At 40.3% G+C, this 21,752-nt stretch overlaps 1 protein-coding gene across 2 annotated transcripts in view, besides 3 other annotated features; it reads left to right on the forward strand.

Moving 5' to 3' along the window:
- CLSTN2 (calsyntenin 2) overlaps positions 1-21,752 on the forward strand; it is a 642,213-nt gene that overhangs the window by 255,145 nt on the left and 365,316 nt on the right. The window lies entirely within an intron of this gene.
- Positions 8,334-9,533: an enhancer, noted in NCBI's record as "BRD4-independent group 4 enhancer chr3:139917505-139918704 (GRCh37/hg19 assembly coordinates)". NCBI's record gives its function as "activates an origin of replication core promoter dependent on BRD2, P300/CBP, MED14 and CDK7 cofactors, and independent of BRD4, by STARR-seq in HCT116 cells {active_cell/tissue: HCT116}" and the evidence as "EXISTENCE:reporter gene assay evidence [ECO:0000049][PMID:35650434]".
- Positions 13,713-14,285: an enhancer, noted in NCBI's record as "OCT4-NANOG hESC enhancer chr3:139922884-139923456 (GRCh37/hg19 assembly coordinates)". NCBI's record gives its function as "activates a minimal SCP1, AML or CMV promoter by ChIP-STARR-seq in naive H9 embryonic stem cells {active_cell/tissue: H9 hESC(naive)}" and the evidence as "EXISTENCE:reporter gene assay evidence [ECO:0000049][PMID:30033119]".
- Positions 14,286-14,857: an enhancer, noted in NCBI's record as "OCT4-NANOG hESC enhancer chr3:139923457-139924028 (GRCh37/hg19 assembly coordinates)". NCBI's record gives its function as "activates a minimal SCP1, AML or CMV promoter by ChIP-STARR-seq in naive and primed H9 embryonic stem cells {active_cell/tissue: H9 hESC(naive and primed)}" and the evidence as "EXISTENCE:reporter gene assay evidence [ECO:0000049][PMID:30033119]".

Below are 21,752 nucleotides of genomic sequence, written 5' to 3' on the forward strand. Positions count from 1 at the left end.
TTGAAATTGTGTAAATGGATTACTCTCAATTTTTTTTTCAAAACTGTTTTAACTATTCTATTTCCTTTACCTTACCAAAAGATTTTAGGATAACCTCATCTATAGCTACAAAAAAAAAAAAAAAAAAAAAAAATCCTGCAAGGATTCTGATAGGGGCTGAGTTAAACATGTATAGCAACTTTAGGACAGTTGACATCTTACCTCGTTGTGTCTTCCAGTGCAGGGGCATGTTATATCTCTACATGTGTTTACATTTCTTTTCTTTCATTAGTGTTGTATAGATTTAAATATATATTCCTGCACATGTTTTCTTATATTTATATCTAAGTATTTCATTTTTTGAGTGACTGTAAATAGTATTGTATTTTTAATTGTGTTGTATTTGCTATTACTGCTGACATATAGACATACAATTTTTTTTATGTGTATGGTGCTATGTTTTATGTTATGCAACCTTGCTGAATTTAATAGTTCTAGATTTTTTTCTTGTAGATTTCTTGGGACTTTCCATATGGACAATCAAGTCATGTGCAGTTTGGGAGTTTTATGTCTTCCTTTCTGATCCTTTGGGTTTTATTTCCTTTTTATTGTCTTTATACTGACTAGAACTTCCAGCATGATATTGAACAGAGGTGATGAGAGAAGATATCCTTGCCTTGTTCCCAGTCTCAGGGGAAAGCATATTCAGTCTTTCACCAGTAAATATAATGTTACCTGTAGAGGTTTTGTAAATGCCTTTTTCAAGTTGAGGCAGTTCTTTATTTTTGGGTTTCTGTGAGGTTTTTTTAAAAAGTATAAATGGGTGTTGATTTTGTCAAATACTTATTTCCTGCATTCATCAATATGAATATGTAATTTTTTTTAGTTTGTTAATATAATAACACTGATTGATTTTCAAATGTTGAATCAACCTCACATCCTTAGACTAAATCCTACTCAATTGTGGTATATCATTCTTTTATAGCTTGCTGATTTCTATGTGCTAATGTTTTAGTGAGAATTTTTTAATCCATATTTATGAGGAATATTAGTCTGTAGTTTTCTTTGTATTGCTATTGTCTAGTTTTATGTCAGAGTAATACTACTTCATAAAGTGAATTGGGAAGTGTCCCCTCCTGTTTTCTGGAAGAGATTATGTAGAATTGGTATTAATTTTTCATTAAATGTTTGTTAAAATTCCCCAGTGAAATTCTCCATGACAGTGCTTTTAGGGGAGTTTTTAAATTATGAATTCAATTTCGTTCATAGTTACAGAGCTCTTCAATTCTCTATTTTATATTGGATGGGTTGTAGTTTCTGTTTTTCAAAGAATTGGTCCATTTTGTCTAAGTTGACAAATCTATGTGTTGACAAATTTATGTAGTTGTCTGTAGTATCCTTTTGATATCTGCAGGATCTGTAATATCTGCCAGTTTGCTCCTCATGTTGATAACTTATATTTTCACTATTTCATATTTAGTGCAGGTTTATCAAGTTTATAAATCTTTTCAAAGAAACAGCTTCTTATTTTATTGATTTTCTTTATTGCTTTTCTGTATTATTTCCTTCATCCTACTTGTATGGGCTTATTTTGCCCTTCTTTACCTAGATGTTTAAGGTGGGAGCTTTGATTATTGATTTGAGATGTTTCCTTTTTTAATGTTATAAATTTTCTTCTCATCACTGCTTTAGCTGTATCCCACAAATTTTGATGTGTTGTGTTTGTATTCAGTTATATGTACTAGCTTATTTCCACTGAGACTTCTCTTTTGGCCCATGTGTTTAGAAATGTGTTGCAAAGTTGCTAAATGTTTGGAGATTGTCCTGTTATCTCTCTATTATTGATTTCTAGTTTAATTCCATTGTGGTTCAGAAAGCATATTTTGTATGATTTCAGTTTTTTTGAGGTTTACTTTATATTCCAGTATATAGTCTATCTCAGTAGATATTCTGTGGGCACTTACTACAAATGCATGTTCTGCTTTTGTTCGGGTCTATAAACGTAGATTACATCCTGTTATTTGATGTTGAACTTTTCTGTATCCTAGCTGATTTTCGGACTAGTTCTATGAATTATTGAGGAACGGATGTTGAAATTTTAAATTACAATAATAGACTTATTTCTTCTTTTAGTTCTACCAGTTTTTCTTCCCATATTTTGCAGCTCTGTTGTTTAGTACATACACATTGAGAATTGCTGTATCATATTTGTGAAGTGGCCCTTTAATCATTATACAATGTCACTCTCTGTCTCCAGTAATTTTTTTTTTACTCTGAAGTTTGCTTTATCTGTTATTAATGTAGTCACACCGCTTTCCTCTGATTATTGTTTGCATGATATATTCTTTTTTTTCCATTTTTTTTTGTTTTACTTTCAAACTGCCTCTGTTGAAGTAAATTTTTTGTTAGCAGCATGTTGGGTCATGTTTTTCAATCTACTCTGCTGAGATCTGCCTTTTCATTGTTGTATTTAGATCATTTATATTTATATGGTAGGGTTTAGATCTGCCATTTTATTTTTGTGTTGTTCTATTTTTTGGCGGGGTAGGGGGAGGTTCTGTTTTCCTGCTTTCTTGTCAGTTGGACACATTTTAGAACTCTATATTGATATAACTATGGCTTTTTGAGTGTATCTTTTTGTATGGCTTTTTTTAGTGGTTGATCTAGGTATTCTACATAACTTATTATAGTCTATTGGTATTGTCATTTTATCAGTTCAAAAGATGTATGGGAATATCTCCTTTCCATTGCTTCTTCCTTCTCTGTTTGTAATTGTCTTAAATGTCTCTTCTATATATGCTTAGAGCCGTATCAGTATTATAATTTTTGCTTAAAATGTAAAATGTGATTTAAAGAACTCAAGAGGAGAAGGAAGGGCTTTTGTATTTACCATTATTTTTGCTTATCTTGTTCTTTCTTCTTTTCTGATGCTCCAAGGTTTCCTTTTTTATAGTTTTTTTTTTTTTTTTTTTTTTGGTTTTGAACACTTCCTTTAACCACCTTTCTTTCAGAATAGGCCTGCTGGTGACAAATTCCTTTTGTCTTTCTTCATTCAAGAATGTCTTGATTTTCTTTTCATTTTTGAAGGATACTTTTGCTGGATATAGGATTCTGGGTTGAAAATTCTTTTCTTTCACCACCTGAAAAATGTTGTGCCCTTCCTTCTAGCCTTTTTTATTTCTGCTTAGAAATCCATTGCCATTCTGTTTTTGTTTGTTTGTTTGTTTGTTTTACTATAGGTAAGGTACCATTCTGGTTGATTTTAACTTTGTCTTTTATTTTCAGTTTAATTGTGATGTCTTTTCATGAACTTCTTTGAGTATATCCTCTCTGGTGTTTGTTCAACTACTTGAATCTATAGGTTTGTATCTTTTGCCAAATATGGAAAGTTTTAGCCATTTTTGCTTTGAGGATTTTTTTTAGCACTGCTTTCTTTTTCCTATTTAGGATTCCAATGCCATGAATGTTGAATATTTTGTTATAGTTCCATAGGTTCCTGAGGCTCTGTATTTTGTAAGTCTGTTTTCTCTCTAATAACTAATTGAGTTATTCCTATTTTTCTCTTTTCCTGTGCATTGATTCTTTCCTCCATTCTGCTGATGAGCCCATGCACTGAGGTTTCTACTTAGGTTATTTTATTTTGTAGTTGCAAAGTGTCCATTTGGTTCTTTATATTTTCTATTTATTTGCTGAGACTTTCTACTTCTTTTCTTGAGCTTTCTACTTTTTCTTTTGATTCATCTGTGTTTAGAATTGACCATACATGTGTTTTTATCATGGCTACTTTAAAATCTTTGTCAATATCTTAGTCCATTTAGGGTGCTAGAACAGAATACCATACCCTAGGTGGCTAATAAACAACAGAAATTTATTTTTTGTAGTTCTGGAGTTTGAGAAGTCCAAGATCAAGGTGCTGTCAGTGCCTGGTGAGGGCTCATCTCCTGGTTTACTGAAGGTCATCTTTTCACTGTGTCCTTACATGGTGGAAGGGATGAGGAAGCTCTCTGGAGTTCTTTTTATAAGGGCACTAATTCCATTCATAAGGGCTCTTACCTCATGACCTAAGCACCTCTCAAAGACCCCACCTTGAAATATATCACATTGGGGATTAGGTTTCAACATATAAATGAGGAAATGGGGGGACATAAACATTCAGTCTGTAGCAGTTTGATGATTGTAATATCTCTGTTTTCTCAGTAGTGGCATCTACTGATTTAAAAAAAATCAGTTGAGTTATTTCTGGTTTTGAGGTAATGAGTAATTTTTCTATTGAAATCTGGGCAATTTTGTGTTATGCTCTGAGACTCTGGGTCTTATTTAAACTTTCTGTTTTGGTTAGCTTTTTCTGACATTGCTTCAGCAATGGGGGCATCACCTCCTTACTGCTAACTGGAGGTAGAATTCCAGGTTCTCTCCTTGGGCTTCATTGACACCTAAGTGGGGGTATCACCTCATTATTGCTGGGTAAGAGTGGAAGTTCCAGCTTCTCATATGGTATCCAGTAATACTGCAGTGGAAGTGGCTTTATTAAAAATGAGCAATGGTGAAAGTCCTAACTCCTCAATTAGCCTTTTCTGATACAACCCCAGTGGGGAGAGGATAGAACTCCTCATTACTGCCAGTGATGGTGGACATACAGGCCCCTCATGTAGTCTATAGGAGGTTCCTCATTGTACTACGGGAGGGTCCTCATTGCTGGCCATTGGGGATGAAAGTTCTAGCTTCCTTCTTCACTTCTCTGATATTCCTCCAGCTGGGTGTGGGAGCACCTCATTACAGCCCCATGAGTGTGGATGTCTAGGCTTTCTACTTACTCTTTGCTGACCTGGGTAGGAGTGAGGCCACAATTCTTTATGCCGTGTTTATCTGAGTAGAGCAGCTGTTGTCTGAAGGTTTTCTGTCTGCTATGTTGCCATTTTCCTAGCTCTTTGGCTAGAGAAAGCAGCCTTTTCTTGGGTATTTTTTGGTTTCTCTTTGTACCAGTTGTCATTTCTGAGTTGCTTTCTCCTTCTGCTCCAAGTTTTGGATGTATGAGGTAAGAAGAAAACCTAAAGAACTCACCACTGTGTCATTTCTTGGGTCTCAAGGCCCCTAGGTGGTCTGCCTTTTTCTCCCCAGCATTCAGAATCTTCTTGTGTTTGTTTTATATATTATGTCCAGGGTTTTAGTTTTACTTAGTGGGAAGAATAGTTAAGAAAAATAAAGCTAATTTATTATAATAAAAGAATGGTTATGAGAAAAAAATAGTTTTTAAAAAAAAATCTGGAAAGGCAAGCCCAAGGCTGCCAGATCTTGTCATTTTCCAGAAGAAGCCAGAATCCAGAGTTTTGTGTTGAATTTCCAAATGTATATTAAAAAGTAATTTAGTTTTATCTATAAAGCATCATGTAGAAAAAGAGTTTACAGATTAAACAATACTGCTGACTGTATTTCACTCCAGGCAACGAGCTTGTGAATTTTACTTGAAGTTACCTAGGCAATACAGGATAAAGGACTGTGAGTTTGGTACACTCAAAGGTTTTTACGTCTCAAAGATGGGTGCTTTTCCTATCCCACATTCATTCATATATAAGAAACTATTACCTATTGCATATAAACTATAAAGGGAATGAATGAGACAGATAAGGACTTCTCACTATGGAGCTTATATGAATAAACAAATGAAACATACCCTTCTATAGTGGATGCTGATGGAGAAGAGGTTTCAGAAATAGATGCGATGATGGGCAGCTCCCTAGTTGGGGCATCTTCCTGATGGTTAGTCCTAGGCGGATTTTCTCAAGAATCCAAAGGCATCTTTCGTGTTACCGAAGAAGAATGCCTGGGAACAGCCACACTAGCTCCAATAACAGCTGAAAGAGAAAAAACAGGCACCTTTTAGCTACATCAGGTTCTGACTTTGAAGGCATCCTTGTCCTGGCAGCTGGTCATTGTCAGAGATGGCGGAGCTTTCCCAAATCTCATGACAGAGGAAGGCGGGGGAAAAATCCAAGTCACACTAACGAAAGTCCAGGAAGGAAACAGGAGGGCTAAGGTGCAGATGTAGGATTTGTTCATGAGTTATCATTCCTGGGCAGGTTCTGGAAATGGGAGTGAAGGCAGAAGCAGTTGTCTCAGCATGTACTTGCCTGATCAAACCAGGTTGCTGGGAGGAACCAGAGTGGAATGGGTATTACTTGCTGTTTCCAGGGGAGAAAGAAGTCAGGGATATACCCATGAAGTCTCCAGCACACATTCCTTTGACCCTTGCTGGTCATCAGGGTGGATATGAGATAATCATTGCTGGCTCCGAAGATGCATATGTGCCTTTCAGTCCCGTGTAATTACAACCAGCATAAACATCCACAGTGGGGGTAGAAACAGAAAGAGGCAGCCAGAACAGACAAAGCTGTCCACTCTCATCTACTGTACAGTCTTAGACTTCTTCACACACAGGTTTCATGGGGAAGCCAAAGTTTGAAAACCCCAGAATTGAAGATTCTGTTCATATTCATATAGCACTGTGATCACAATAGCAACATGGTTATTTTGTTATGAAAAACATTATTTCTCTCCTGCTCTTGCACCTAGGCCTTTTCTGTCCCCAAATCTTGAAATTTTCAGAGGTCGTTGGCAATTCCACATTTTTTATGAGTTTTGGCAATGAAGGAGTTGACTTACTCAGCTAGGAAAAGGATGATAAATACAAATTGAATTTTACTTTGCAGAATCCTGCAGCTGGAGATAAGGAAGCTTAAAGACATGACAAAAACAAACAAATAGCATGTAGTTTGTTTTCCAGTATGGGCAAATACAACCCTGCCTGGCTTGCAAGCACTCTTTCTTTCCTCTAAATGTGAGAAGGCCACAGTCTCAGCTCACTGCTGCCAAGGTAGCTGTCCTCACTATGAAATGATTGTTCAGTGGCATTTACAGAAGATTGCAGAGAGGAGAAAGAGCTTGCTGGATATCAACAGCCTGGACCCTGATGTCAGGCCATCACATCTTCTAAAAGTAATAAAAATCATAGCCATTTCCAGTCTATTATGTGCCTGGTGCTGTACTGGGGGACTATACATATATGTGAATCTAAATAAAATCACTAAATATATATAAAATTTGTTTTATTCATTTTCACCAATCACATGAGTTTGTACAGGTGGCATTATTTTTCCTTTTTAAAGATAAGGAAACTCAGGCTCAGAGAAGTTAAGTGACTTGCTGAAATCACGCTGTCAGGTAAATGTTAGAGTGCAGTTCACATAGATGGGCATTACTCGTTCTGATCGCTGGTTCTCAACTGAGGGTGATCTTACCCCTCTTACTCTTCAGAAGCTTGTTAACAATGTCCAGAGACATTTTTTGGTTGTCTTAATGGGAGATTATAGGTTGCTGTGACATCTAGTGAGTAGAGGCCAAGGATGCAGCCAAACGTCCTACAATATACAGGATAGCCCCACACCAAAGAATTATCTGGCTCAAAATGTCAATAATGTTGAAGTTGAGAAATCCTAGTTCAAAAGGCAGAAGACCTCAGTTTTAGTTTCTATTCTGCATCTAGCTCAGAATGTATCCCTGGAAAAATTATTTCCTTTCTGTGATGCTGAGTTTTTTCATGTGTAAAACAAAGGGCCAGACTGTTTTACTGGATGATCTCTAAGGTATTTCTGGCTTTGTTATCCTGTGGATCCTGGGCAATTAGAATTTTATTTGTGGCTCTTGAAGTGGTCTTGAAAGTCCTCATGAATTGTACCAGTGTTTCAAGCAAAAGCAATGGAAAGGTTTTAGAAGGCATCAATAAATACATATAGACACTTCACATATTCTGCAATAGGAAAAATGTCTTTATATCATACTGTATCTGGGCCATAGTGGATGGTTGCTCTTAAATTTTATCTTCTTACTGTAATTAAGTTGCCCATTCTGAACCAGACAATGACTGTGTCCACAGTCCAGCTGCATACTTCATGTTGTGTTGGTGCCTTTGGGGCACCTGTATGAGTTTTGTCTTGCAGTGTAACAAAGCATCACACATTTAGTGGCTTAAAATAATACCCATTTGTTATCTCACAATTTTTGTGCATAGGAGACTGGGCACAGCGTGACTGGGCCCTCTGTTCACAGTCTCACCCAGCTGAAAGAAAGGCTTTGGCTGGGCTGCACTCTCCTCTGGAGCTCAGGGTCCTCTGCCAGGCTCACCAGCTGTTGGCAGAATTCAGTTCTTTATTGTCCTAGGGTAAGGTCCCGGCTTTGTTGCTGGCTGTCAGCTGGGGGATGTTCTCAGCTCCTAAAAGGTTTTGGAAAGATAACAGCAGGTAGTACACATATGCCAAGCACTTTATTTAATCCTGTAAAGAAGGGGTCAGCAAACTTTTTCGTAGTGGATCTAATAGTAAGTATTTTAGGCTTTGCAGGTCAACAGGTGACGTTTAGGCCATTATGTAGGTACTTAATCTAACCATTTAAAATGTAACCATTTAAAAATGTAAAAACCATTCTTAGTCTGCAGGCTCTAAAACAGTGGCTGAATTTAGCCTGTGGGTTGTGGCCTGCAATTCCCTGTTCTGAATAATCCCAGGAGGTTAACGTAGGTATGGATGAAATTATATCCCACTTTGAATGAAATCAACTGAGAGACAGGGCCTCTAGTTTACCTGCCTGGCTCTCAGCATCTAGGGAGGTCTGATTCTAATTCCCAGGTAGGATTCTCCAAGGCCCGGATGACAGCCCCTGTGTGGGGAAATTATTTTCTCATATTCCATGGAGATTCTAACTCTGAGCCTTTCTCTCAAGTCCTCAAGAAAGTGTCAGGGCCAGAAGATGGAAAATCAGTCTAGTCTCGGGCCTATCTTTCCATGTGTGAGTTTCCTTATCTTGTAAGTACGCAGAATATTGCATCAGACTTTTTCTCCCACTTTGGGCAAAGAACACTGGCTGATGAGGGTGGCTGGGAGCAGCTAGGGCTCTTTTGAGGGGGAAATGAGAAGAAACTATGGTGAATATGTAGGCTTTCTTCATCAGAATAACCCTTTATCTCATCATTGATTTCCTTTCCTGACCATCAGAATCACCTGAGGAGCTTTCTAAACACATTCTTGGGCTTCACCCCTTAAAAAAAATTAATTTAGTATGTCTGGAGTAGACCTGGTCAGAATTGGTTTGAAACCTAGTAGGCATTTCTGATACAGGGCCAAATTTGGAAGCCACTCAAGAGGTGGGTGTTTCCCAGAAAAATCCTCTCTGGTGGTAAGAATCATCAGGGGTGCTTATCAAACTAGGAGCCGCCCAGGCCCCTGCCCACCTGGTTATTGTCATCAAGGATGGTTGGGATATACTGCACATTTTTTTCTTTCAATCTCTTTCTACCCCAGATTTTCCACACTTGACTGATACAGCTGGCCTTCCCAGAAATGAGGCCAGTGGGCCTGGGGTGAGTTCTGGGTAGCTATACAGCTAATAAGCACCCCAGTTGAATCTGATGTTCTCCAAAGTGTGGGAACCACTGGGAGGAACAAACTGAGTAAGTGCCCCTGGCCATCAGGTGGACTCAGAGTTGGCTGCTAGTAAACACTTAATTAGACTTTAATGACATTTAATCCAAGCCAAACAGTGTATGTTTGAAATTGCAAAGGTCTTTTAAATTTAGTGGCACTGAACCCAAACACTATGCACAAACACAGTTCAGATTCTGACTAGAGGGCATTATTTATGCCAGGATTAAAAGCAGCTGGTGGCTCGCTGGGTACCTCCTACAAGGCCTTTAGTCCAGGCATGAAGGCAGTTCAGATTTAAGAGTCTGTATTCTACGTCTCCCCTTATATTTCTTTCCCTGGGAACTTTGTTCTAGGCAGGGGCTGTATGAACCAGTCCCAAGTTTGATCTTGATCAAGGCTATCATGAAAGCCAAGATTTCTTTTCTCCTCAGAGGCCTTGGTTATGGTATGATGCAGTGGTTTGTACATATTTTAAGATAATTTTTTTGAAATATAATGAAGGATACAGAACTTAGTGCCGTAAAAAATTCTTGGAGAATTTTACATAAGTTTCAGGGGATTTATGGATCCCCTAAGTCATTTCAGGAACCCCATCTTTAGACTCCACGTAATGACCGCCAAAAAGAGCCTGTGTTTGAAAACAGAGTCAGTATGCCTGTCAGTCAGCAGTCAACAAGCCATACAAGAAATAACAGTTTATTTCTTAGTCTGTGAAATGGCAATGCTAATAGCATGCTCTTTATATCTACAGGATAGTTGTGAAAAAAATATGCCAGGGATGTGAAAGCATCAGGAAGGGTTAATAAGGCTATATTGACACGCACAATCCTGCTATTAAGTTAAAACTTCTTTTTTTCTTGTCCTAAGGCACTAGAGTTTTTCCTCAATCTCATTAAGACATTGTGTGTATATAATCAAACATTTGAAAGAGCATGAAAGACAGAACATTTCTCAATGATCGAATTGAATTTAACACATATTATTGAGTCCCTTGCTGGTCTTTACTCTTGGACACCTCCCCTCCCCCACCTGCCTCCTCTTTTAAACACCTGCTCTTTCTTTGGGTCTTGGCTCAGGTGTCACCTCCTGTGTTAAGCCTTCCCCAGTACACCCCCTCCCTATCCAAGTTGACACATCACCAAAGGACCTTGATAGCATAACCTTGAAACTGCTTGTTCCCCTAGGAGTCTCCTCTCCCAAAGGGGCATCTTGAAGTCAGGGAGGTTGACCTCAATCCTAGCACAGAACAGAACTGTCTGTTAAATACAAATCTACATAAATGAGCATAAAGCCCTATACTTGTTGGCTGAGATGAACGTGACAGAGGCCCTGCCTTCAAAAGTTTTATTCAGAGGAGGAAGGAAGCTGACATGAGAGAGATACAAGAGAGCACTGTGTTGTTTAGAGACTGGTTTGGTGTCCGTTCAACTGGGGACATCAGGATAGGCTTTCTTGTGGGAGATGATTCTCGAAATAGCCATTGGGAGATGACTAGGTCTCAGGGGCTGCATTAAATAGAGCAGGAAAGCCTGGAGCAGAGACACAGAGGGGAGAAAAATGGGGCCTTGTCAAGGTAGCAGCTGTGCAGTCACTTTGCCTGGCACACAGGTCTCATGTGTAGGGGAAGTAGGAGCAACAATGAGAGAAGAGCACTGGGACAAAAATGCAGAGGATGTTCACTGACAGCTGGGATCTGTACTTAATGGAGAGCCAGGAAGGGTTAGAATGGCATGATTGGAATAGAGGCATGGGGAATCAAAGTGTCATACCTTAGCCACTGAGAGACTAACTCTCAATGTTCTACAACTTCTATAACTTCCAGTGGTGCAAAATACTAATTATTTATTTTAAAAATATTTATTAAGCACCTACTGTGTGCTAAGCTCTGTTCTAGAAACTTAGAATATATCAGTAAGCCAAAAAGTGTTCTCTGCCTTGGTGAAGCTTACATCACAGCTGAGGTAGAAGTGGAACACGGACAATAAATAACAGACATAGCAAATTATATGCACGCACACACACATGTATATGTGTGTGTGTATGTGTGTGTGTGTATATATAATGATATATAATAAGTTAGATACAAAATGAGGAAAAAAAACCTGAAAACACAGAAGAGGAGGAAAGGGAAGATTTAGTGTCAGGGTTTGCTTGACTGTGAAGATGATATTGAGCAAAGTTTCGAAGGAAATGAGGGGATGCACCCTGTGCTATCTGGCTCTGATGTTTTCAGCAGAGGCAACTGCCATTGCAAAGGTCTGGCTATTTAGGGAAAGCCTGGAGGTCAGGCAGTATTAGAGGTGGGCGGATCAAGCAGGGCTGTGGGCCATGGTCAGAACATAGGCTTTTCCTTTGTGAAATGGGAGCTACAGCAGGGGTTTGAGCAGAAGAGTAATGTGATCTGACTTACATTGTGATAGGGCCTCTCTGCTCCTATATTGAGAAGAGGTTACAGGGCTCAAGAGCAGTGTCAGGGAGACCACTTAGTAGGCCACTGCAGTAACAGCTGAGAGTGCCAGTGGCTTATATCAGCAGGTGAGAAGTAGTGGGATTGTGGGTGGGTATGTTTGGAAGGCCGAGCTAACAGGATTTCCTGATGTGTTCTATCTGAGGTGTGAGAGAAACAAAGAAGTCTAAGATGCCTACAAGATTTGGCACCTAAACAACTGGAAGGATGGAGGTGTCATTGCTGAGTTGGAGGAAGGATGCGGGTGGAGTAGGTTGGAGAAGGATGACCAGGCATTCACGTTAGAACGTTCTGTCTGCTGTGCCTTATAGCTTCCAAGTGGAGATGTGAAGTAGGCAGTTGGATGCCAAAGCCTGGAGGTTGGGAGAAAAGTCTGACTGCAGAAATAAATTTAGGACAATTGGTAAACAGCTAGTCTTTTAGGCCACGGGACATTCAGATGTTCAAGAGAAGAGATAGGATGAGAAAAGGAGATAGAATAAATGGCCAGTGTGTTAGGAGGAAACCAAGAGAGTCAAGTGTCCAGAAGCAAAGTAAAGACAGTATAGAAGGAGCGTGGAAGAGACTAGTGAGATGCCCACCCAACAGGTCCTTTTTTTCCTGAGCACATAACTAGTCTACATTTCACAGTCTCCCTTGAATTTGGGTCCATCCATGTGACTGAGTTCTGGACGGTGCAATGTGGGTGGAAGTGATCTATGCCCCCTCCTGGTCTAGCCAGTAAGATCTCCTGCAATCTTTGAGCAGTAGAGGACCCCGTAGCCTTCAGTAATAGTGGAACCCCAAGGTGGGAGGATCTGGCTCCTGAATGTCTACATGGAGTAGTACCCTCCCCTCCCAAATTGGAATGTGTCGTGGGCAAGAAACCTTTATTATTTTAAGCCACTGAGATTTGAAGTTGGTTTTTACAGCCTTAAGTGTACTCTGACAAAGATAGGGAGTGATCAAGTGCTGCTGCTAAGTCAAGTAAGATTAGGACTGAGAAAGGATCATTGCATGTAGCAACCTGGAGGTCATGGGTGACCTTGAAAAGTATAGTTTAGGGGAAAGGTGAACAAAAATCTGATTGAACTTGCTCAGTAGAAAATGGGAGGACATTAAAAAGGTGATAGTGAGGCAGGACCCACTCCATTTTTAGGAACATTACTGCAAAGGATAACAAAGAAATAGGATGTTGGCTGATGAGGGAAGAGGGGTTAAGAGAAAGTGTGGGTTTTTTTTTTTTTTTTTTTTTTTTTTTTTTGGTTTTTAAGATGGGAGAAATATGCACATCCTGTGCCATTTGTTGGTAGAAAATGTTAGCTCTTTTCCTGAGACCACGGTGCAATTTGGCGCATGGCCCGTGCCTCTGCCAGTCACCTGGGATAGCTATTTGTTTCTGCCTGAATGGCAAATGATATCATTTTGAAAGGCCTCCTGGTGCCTGATAGATTTGTTAGGGAGCCTGACAGCTTTAATGGACTTAGCTGACAAGACAATGGCTTCTCCTGGCAGTGCTTGTTTTGGAGAGATTCCAGGGATGGTAATGAGCAGTGGTAGGAACAATGACAGAGGAAGAGGAGGGAGAGGCTGCAAAGATTTTGCTTAAGGTAGAACCTGGAGCATGGTAAGAAAATAACCCGCAAGATTCTGTCTAATTGGCAGATGCCAGAGGAGGAAACAAAGTTGCTGGAGAAATGTGTCTCTCCAGGGTCTTGGTTAGGAGGAGGCAGCTAGGACCACTCCTTGAGAAGACATCCTCTTGCAGTTAATCTCCCTAGATCTCTTTCTTTCTGTCCCCCATTTTCAAAGAAAAAGTATCTTTTGGGATACAGTGTGGCATGTTAGACTCAGCTTTGAATTCCTGCTTCACCATTTTCTACCTGGGTGATCTTGAATAAATCATTTAACTTTTCAAATCTTTAATTTCTCTTTCTGGAAGATGGAAATAATATCTGAAATAGCATATGGCATGTGGAAGGTGTTCATAAGTGGTAGTTGTTTTTATTTGGGGCCACCCAAAAACATGTTTTGGCCTAGAGAGGCAGGGCAGGGCACTACCCAGAAGCTAAGACTGATGCCAGACCTCACGGCTTATCATCTGTCCCTTTCTCTCCAAACTTGCACGAGTTACTCACCCTTTCTCTGTGCCTTGGCTCATCATCTGTAAAGTGAGGTTTATCACAGTACCTACCCCACATCCTTGAGGGGAGTATTAACAAATGAATACATGTAAAGTACCTAGTATCTGCCACATAATCACTTCTCAGTAAATTAGCTGTTGGAATTATTTGCATGTGTATGTGTTTGTTTTTGTGTTAATTTGGGAAAAGGCAAATCCTTGGATTAGTTGATTGTAAAAGAAAGGCTTTACTGTCAAGGACAAAACTTGGGAGTGGCGGTAAGCTCTGGAACTAAAGGTAACAGTGTGATGATCAGCCTGTCACTCCAATATGCCCAAATGTCCCTGCCTGGGGAAACTGGATGTGCTGAGGGTAACCTTCTCTCATCTGAAGGGCAACGTGAGCCTTCTTGAGGTCCTTGCCATTGCCTAGGGTCTTATTCCCCTGGTTACTGCCACCACAGGCAGCTGAACTGCAGTGGAGGTTGTAATTGTCAGGTCTGTCTGTCCCGCTGTCCCCCATTCTGGCTATATGAGGCCACTGGGGAGAGATAGTCAATCCCTAAGGACAGTACATTGATGGGCCTCATGACACTATTGACTTGCTAATGATTCTTGAGGGGCTCAAATATGAAAGGGAGTTGGGGAATCAGGAGGGGTGAGGGGAGGTGGGTCAGAGTGGAAGAGGGAGGCTTATGAAAAGAGGGTAGGCATTTTCTGTAAGTTACGGCCCTTGTTCCATCCAGGAAGAGGGAAGACCTATTATTTGAATCTTCACGTTGAGGAAATCAAAAGTCAGATAGGTTAAGTAACTTGCCAAAGATCACACAGCATCCAAAGGTGTTTGCTGGGATTTAACTACCAAATCCTATGGGTTTTATTTCTTTATCATTATACCTACGTGTGGTTCAACTGAATTCAAATGCGTATTGAGCTCTCATGGAGTCCTTAGTGACACAAGGGAGACATAGATGCCACAGAGGCAGAAGGTGTGATATCTGCCTATAGGGCATGCACAGTGTAGATAAGAAGACAAAACAGATGTGCCTGAAGCACCTGAACATGGGATAAATATTTAAGGATTAAGTTAGTCACACCTTGAAGTAGGAGTTTAGAGGAAGACAATTTCCAGGTGCTACATGGTTCACAAAAGGTGGGAATATGGGAGGGAGATTAAACTGAGGCTGGAGAGCAGAAAAAATTAGGAAAGCCACAGAGGAGGTAAGGAGGATTGAGGATTGGGTACAGTTGTTGTTTGGACCTGACCCGCCCCCCACCCACACACACACACAGCCACCTGCTATGCATGTTCACAATTACAGGTCTTGTATAGTTAATGAGCTCATCAGTCAAAACACCACTTTCCACCACTCTATGATGATTGAGCCCCTACTGTGTGCAAGCACCATGTCACCAAAGGGCGATAAGGCAGGGTTGCTGCCCTAAGGAGCTTTTACTCCCTGATCAAGGCAGACAGCCATGACTCATGAAGCTCCAGACCAGCAGTCCCCACCGGTCAGTCCCTGGCTGCTACACAGGGTGGATGGAGCGCCTGTGTGCACTCACAGGTGCATGCACTGTGCCCCTGAGGGCTGGGAGCTCCATCTTCTCTATTCCCAAAAAGCACAGGAGCTCTCTACACTAGAAAGCACAGGAGTGAGGGATTTTATTAAAGATATAAACTTGAATCCACTCATTAAAAAAAGAAAGGAAAATCATTCACAAACTTCAGAACATTTGCTTTAATAAGTAACAAATTGCTGCCTGTAGAAGTACTGCTGCTGAGATCTAGAGCTGTAAACAACTCCCAATTAGTCTGTTCATGAAGTTGGGAGGGTGTATTATCTGGCACTGGAGTCAAGGGAGTTAAGAGAGGCAGGATGCAGCCCAGAGGGAGAGCTTCTCCTTCTCCAGAGTGCAGACCTGGTCTCAGCAGGAGGCAGAGGCATGGAGAGACACATCTCCTATAGATTGGGCTAGCCCTGCAGAGCTCCTCAGCTCAACCTCCCCTAGCTTGAGGGCAGAGGCCAAGCCAGAGGCTAAGGAAGAGTGGCAGGGCAGAGATTTGGCAAAGTGGCCCTAAAGGAACCTATCAAGGAATCACAGCCCCAGCCAGCAGGAAATGAGCTTGAAGTGCTTCAGGCTGGCTCTGGCTTCTTAATACCCATCGGCTCTTATCAAATATGAGGACACCTGACACGTGAAAACCAAACACTGGGCTCTTATCTTCCAGACCTAAATTAGCTCCCCAAAGCAACTCTTTAGGGCTTCCTCTTTTAAATAATGAAGTATCTGATAAATGTGCTGCCAAATGGATTTGAAGCAGCCGAGGAGAGAGGCTGAGACTAGGTTTAAAATCTCCCAGCAAAGCTTCCCACAAACTCTCCCAGGAGACATTTGTACTTGCCCTGTTAGAATCTCTGGGTAGAGAGAGTCTGATGGGCCTTTTTCTCTTTTGAGTGTGCTTGAAGTGCTGTCCAGGGTCCTTACAGAAAATGCCCAGTAGCCAATAGACATCTGGTGGGCAGATGCAGAACCTACAGCGCAGCTCTGGCCACCTGCCTGAGCTGGGAATTCCTATTCCCATGAGGGATCAGAACTTGCCCTGGCCTGAGTGGTACATTCAGCATTTGGTATTGGTTCCCTCTTTTTCCTGTAGTCCTCCTTTTGACCCATCCAGGTGCTTACTGTATACCCAGAGCCTATGGGGATGTCAGGAAGATTCTGACTCCTTTCTTCACATCTTCCCTAACTTCCTACTTCTCCATCAGAGCCAACCTATCACATGTCCCATTTCCAGCTTCTGGGGTGTTTGCATTTTACCTAATAAGCTAACAACAAAGAGAAGTGCTTTGAGAGTAGGCCCATGAAGTCGTTCTGAGAATGTTTGTATGCTACAGTGAGGTAGTGTCCCAGAATCATTATGTATGCCTTAGTAAGAAACTTCACCTCTCTAAATGCCAATTCATTAATTTTTAAGAGAAAGGAGTTGGTCTAAAGATTCACCATTCCCATCTTACCATTATATTTTCTGTCTTAATGGCATAATTTCAGACATCAGAGAAAACTTTGTGACCTTTAATTCAGGCTACACTCAACTTACCCTTTTGTCTTTCAGTGTCTTTAAATGGGGATAGAAGTAATAATGCTTTCCTCAGGAACTTGTTTTAAAAATTAAATAAGATGACATTTGTGAACATGCTTCACAAATTCAAAAGTTCAAAACACCTGTGAGGATTTATGTTCATGGTGGTTTTTAAAATAATCATGACCAGCTGAGAACAGGGTAAATAGAATATCCTGTGCCTATTGAAAATCCTCCTGTGTACATCTTGATGCACTTGTTTGATTGTTGCATAGGGTAAATACCTAGGATTCGAATTGCTGGGTCAAGTGTATACATCGTTAGTATTATTGCTACCCAGTGCAGAACTGGTTCTGAAAAAAAACTGGCTTACCAGCAGTTAAGAAGGCACCTGCTTCTCTTTGCTGTTTTGCCAGTTTGACAAGCAAAGTTGCTGCCACATTTTATTTTGCATTTTGTTGGTTATGGGGTGTGTGAGTTTCTTGTTTTGTAAGTTTAATATTCATATATATTTATAATTATAGTAATTATTGCTTCCCTATTAAAATGCAAAAATGTCTCTCTCTAACTTCTTTTTAATAGTAACCCATTGTCTGCCAGATTTTTTGCAAAAATATTTCTATTTTGTGCTTTTAAATTTTGATTGGGTTTAGGATATAAATTTTAAACTGTATTTGTCTAATCCATTCATGTTTTATCATTTTTTTCATTACTTTTTCTTCTAAGCAAAAACAAAGGTTCTCCAACCAAAACTCCAAACAATGCTAATATAGTTATTTCCAAGGTTATACATGGCTCATTTTCAAGGTAACTCTTTATTGAAATTTGTTTTGATGTACGATTGGAGGCTCAAACCTAATTTCTTTTTAATAGAAACAGTTTACTGCCTCAGAAATATTTATTAATCCTCAATAAATTTAGCTGACTGTATTTAGGAGAATAGACTTCACTAACTTTATCTCTTTTATGAAATACAATAAGATCTTTTAATCTTACAGTTATGATTAATTTTTTGTTTATTTTAGGCAAGGGGAATTTACTGTATCTTTGTTTACTGATTTCATTCTTTACAAATCCAGATGATGCTTAGGATGTCTGTTCTCAGTGCATGATGTGTTCTGACATTATTATTCATTACTTTGGTATTTTCCTGCCTTCTTATACATCTTCTCATTTTATTTTTTGCATCCCTGACTCAGTTTTCCAGTGTTCATTCAGCACCTGTGCACCACCAATGCAAATTTTAATTCTAAGGTTGCATTTTGGGATTCTGTCCCAATCCTTTTTATTTTACTCATCTTTTTTAGTTCATTCTCTGGGTTTTTCTTGTTATTTGTTGTTTTTAATGCAGTTCTGCCACATAAAGGCCGTGTGACTTGTTCTCTGTACTCAGGGGGTAGTTGGGAGAATAAAGGGAGTCAGTACTTACATGCTGCTGTAACCATGCCTGACACATAGGAAGAGCTCAGTAAATGTTATTCATGCCTCCACCCCACCGCCACCTTCACTGTCTGGCTATTTCACAGTCTGAAAAGATACAGTGTATATAGAAAGTGGCAATTCCCAGTGTGTAGTAACCCCAAGTGTCCTCACATCTTTACTACCATTGCAGCACCTTTCTATAAGAACAATTTATTTATGGAAAAAAAATCACTCCCATTCTGTCTACTCCACTCATCTTGCTCTCAGATTTTTTAAACCTGGGGACTCCAAGAATCAAAATCTATGATGTATGCATTATGATTGTCAGCAGGAGTTGGGGAGAGAACTGGAGAGGATGCAGCGAGCAGCACTCTGGCCACTGGAACTAGGCTCCCTTCAATAGAAAAGAGAGCTCAGTATTTGGGTAGGCATTGACTTTGCATCTCTGGATCCAGGGAAGACAAGGAATGAATGGACTCTGATCCCTTATGCTTTCAGGACAGTGGGTTCTCTTTCTTTCAGCTGTGTAGCTTTGGTGGCCATAGAGGGATTTTTATTTTTTAAAAAATTTCCATTTCATTGGTGCGAGATAGCTGCGAGATAGCACTCTCCTCTCAATTCTGGAAGTAGGTTAACTGCTGGGGACAGACTTTGGTGCTTTGGGGAGTGAAGGTTCATCCTATAGCTTTATACATACTTGCATGGGGTGCTGAGGGAAGCTGTGTTAGCTGCTGCTAGTCAGGAGCTTTTTAAGGCTCTGTTGAAGCCCAGCACTGTCCGTACTGCTGCCTGAACCTACAGTTCCCTGGGCTAAGGATGCAGAGGACACTGATACTCAGTGTCGAAAAGTTACACCCCCCTGTACACCACTCACTCCCTTGGGCTAGAAACTGGAGAGGACAAGTAACATAAAGGGGCTGGCATGATGAAAGGGAGTGAATTCAGTTCAGGTGGTGACAGAAGAGGGCTTTTCAGTGGTTCAATTCTGAAGTGAGTTGGAGCCTCAACCTAGTTCTCACTGCAAGCTTAGATTTCAAGGACTTTTCTAAGGACTTACAGGGCTGCAAATTAGAGGCCATTCAGGTGCTCATACATTCACTCCCTTGCTCATATTTATTGGGCTCCTGCCATGTACTAAATGCTGAGGTTACAGTGTTGGACCAGACAGAAGCTTCCCTGTCTCCTCTGAGAAAAACTACTCTTCATTCTATCATTCCATGACCTATGTTGTCACCCACATTTATTAAGAGACTTCTGTGCATCATGTCATCTGTGTGATGACTCTGGGAGGTTGCTGCTGTTGTCTTTACTTCACAAATAAGGAATCGAGGCACAAAGAACTCGCTGTTTGTGTTAGGGAAGGGCCAGAATCTTACCTTCAGTTTGCCTGACTCTAAAACCCTTAGCTTATGCTTACTAAAACCAATTCTCACATCCCATGAATGATCATATTATGTTTGCAAGGATGTAACTTATGAAGCAGAGACACAGTGTTCAACTTGATAGAAGCAGCAGTAGCCGAGGCAGGCTGTACATCTGGATGCTAAGAAACATCTGGAAGCAGTACACACTTTTAGGCAGGTGTTTGTCACCAATGAGCTATTCAACCCACATGATACACACCCTGCAGGAGAAAGACATTCCCAGCTGAGGTACAGACTTCTCAAATTTGAGAGCAATTTTTGGTTTTCTCGTGTTATACTGAGGGAATGTATATACCTTCCTGAGCTAAGGTCACAGATGCTTAAGGAAACATCAAGCTGCTTCTCTCTTGGTTGGATATTTTATCGCAGTGAATCCACACTGTGTCTGGACCAGTCTTCGCACCATCCCTGAGAGAGAATGCTACTTTCCTGGGTATTTCATCTTGGGTAGATCTTGGTGGACCCTGTTCATGCAGTGGGTTTGAAGGAGGAGGAGGGTCATTATAGAAACCTACAGAATGAACGTAATTATAACTCTTGAGGTGGGATTTGGATCAGGAAGACGGTAGTAACAAGCACCTAAATAGCTATGAATCTGAGGATAACTCAGCATTTCCTCAGCATCCTAGGAAGCTTTGGGTCTTCGATTCATAGTTCCCCCTCTTCACCAGCAAGTATTCCATCAACAGTGCACAGAGAATTCTGCTTACTATATAATTGTGAATATGATTTTAAAGAAAGATTTTGTAGGCTTGGGGTCGGTATGTGTGGTGGGAGAAGGTGTCTCATCCCTTAGACAGACAGAGCCTAGCTCTTTGGAGGGTCAATATGGTGAAATGGAAGCTCTGGACTGGCTGTCAGGAGAGTGGAGACCTGTGCTCCCATCTCTGTGCTCAGTAGCAGAGTGGCCCTGACAGATCATTCCCCTTCCTGGCCTCAGTTTCCTCCTTATAAAATAAGATCTTCAGATTGTATAATTTTAAAGGAACTTCCAAGCTCTATTATTTAAGATTCATTCCAGGGTGAATGGTTGGCAGGGATGAGTAATCAGTTCTCAATTCTCCATGACCAGTAGACATAAGGAGAGGCCTAAACCACCTGATATATGCTTGGTAATTCACACACACACACACACACACACACACAGTATATATATATATATTATTTATCAAAAATCACTAACATTCTGTCTACTCCACACTTATCTTGCTCTCAGATTTTTTAAACCTGGGGACTCCAAGGATCAAAATCTGTGTGTGTGTGTGTGTGTGTGTGTAGTGTGTGTGTGTATATATATGAATATATTTGTGTGTACATAAACATATTCATTTAATCCTCTGCAATAAAAGACTTTAGGTAGTTGTAATGCTTTTAGTACTAAAATGAAATTGAATAATAATACACATTTAACTTACTTGAATGACACCATATTTGAATAGGAAGAAACCTAAATAACCCACCCCTTACCCTATTTGACCATTTCTCCCTGAGCCCCTCAAACTAGACTTTAACCTCCAGTGAATCAGTAAAAGATGGGAAAAGAAAAAGAAGGAAAGAAAGAAACGGATGCTTTTGGGCTTCCAAGGGCCTAGTGCTCACAATTTAAAGAGGAGTTAAGGGTTTTCTTAAAGTGTAATTTTGACTGTGTTTAATCTTCAATTCTCAGCATGCCTACTGACTTTTAACTCTAAACCTGCATAGATTTTCCCTGCACCATCCATATTTTACATCAGATGAAGGAATGGATGAACAGGGATTAAGTAATCTTCCAAACATCATGGATCTCATGAGGGGCCAAAAT

The sequence above is a fragment of the Homo sapiens genome, chromosome 3 (genome assembly GCF_000001405.40).
Source record: "Homo sapiens chromosome 3, GRCh38.p14 Primary Assembly".
NCBI classification, from domain to species: domain Eukaryota; kingdom Metazoa; phylum Chordata; class Mammalia; order Primates; family Hominidae; genus Homo; species Homo sapiens.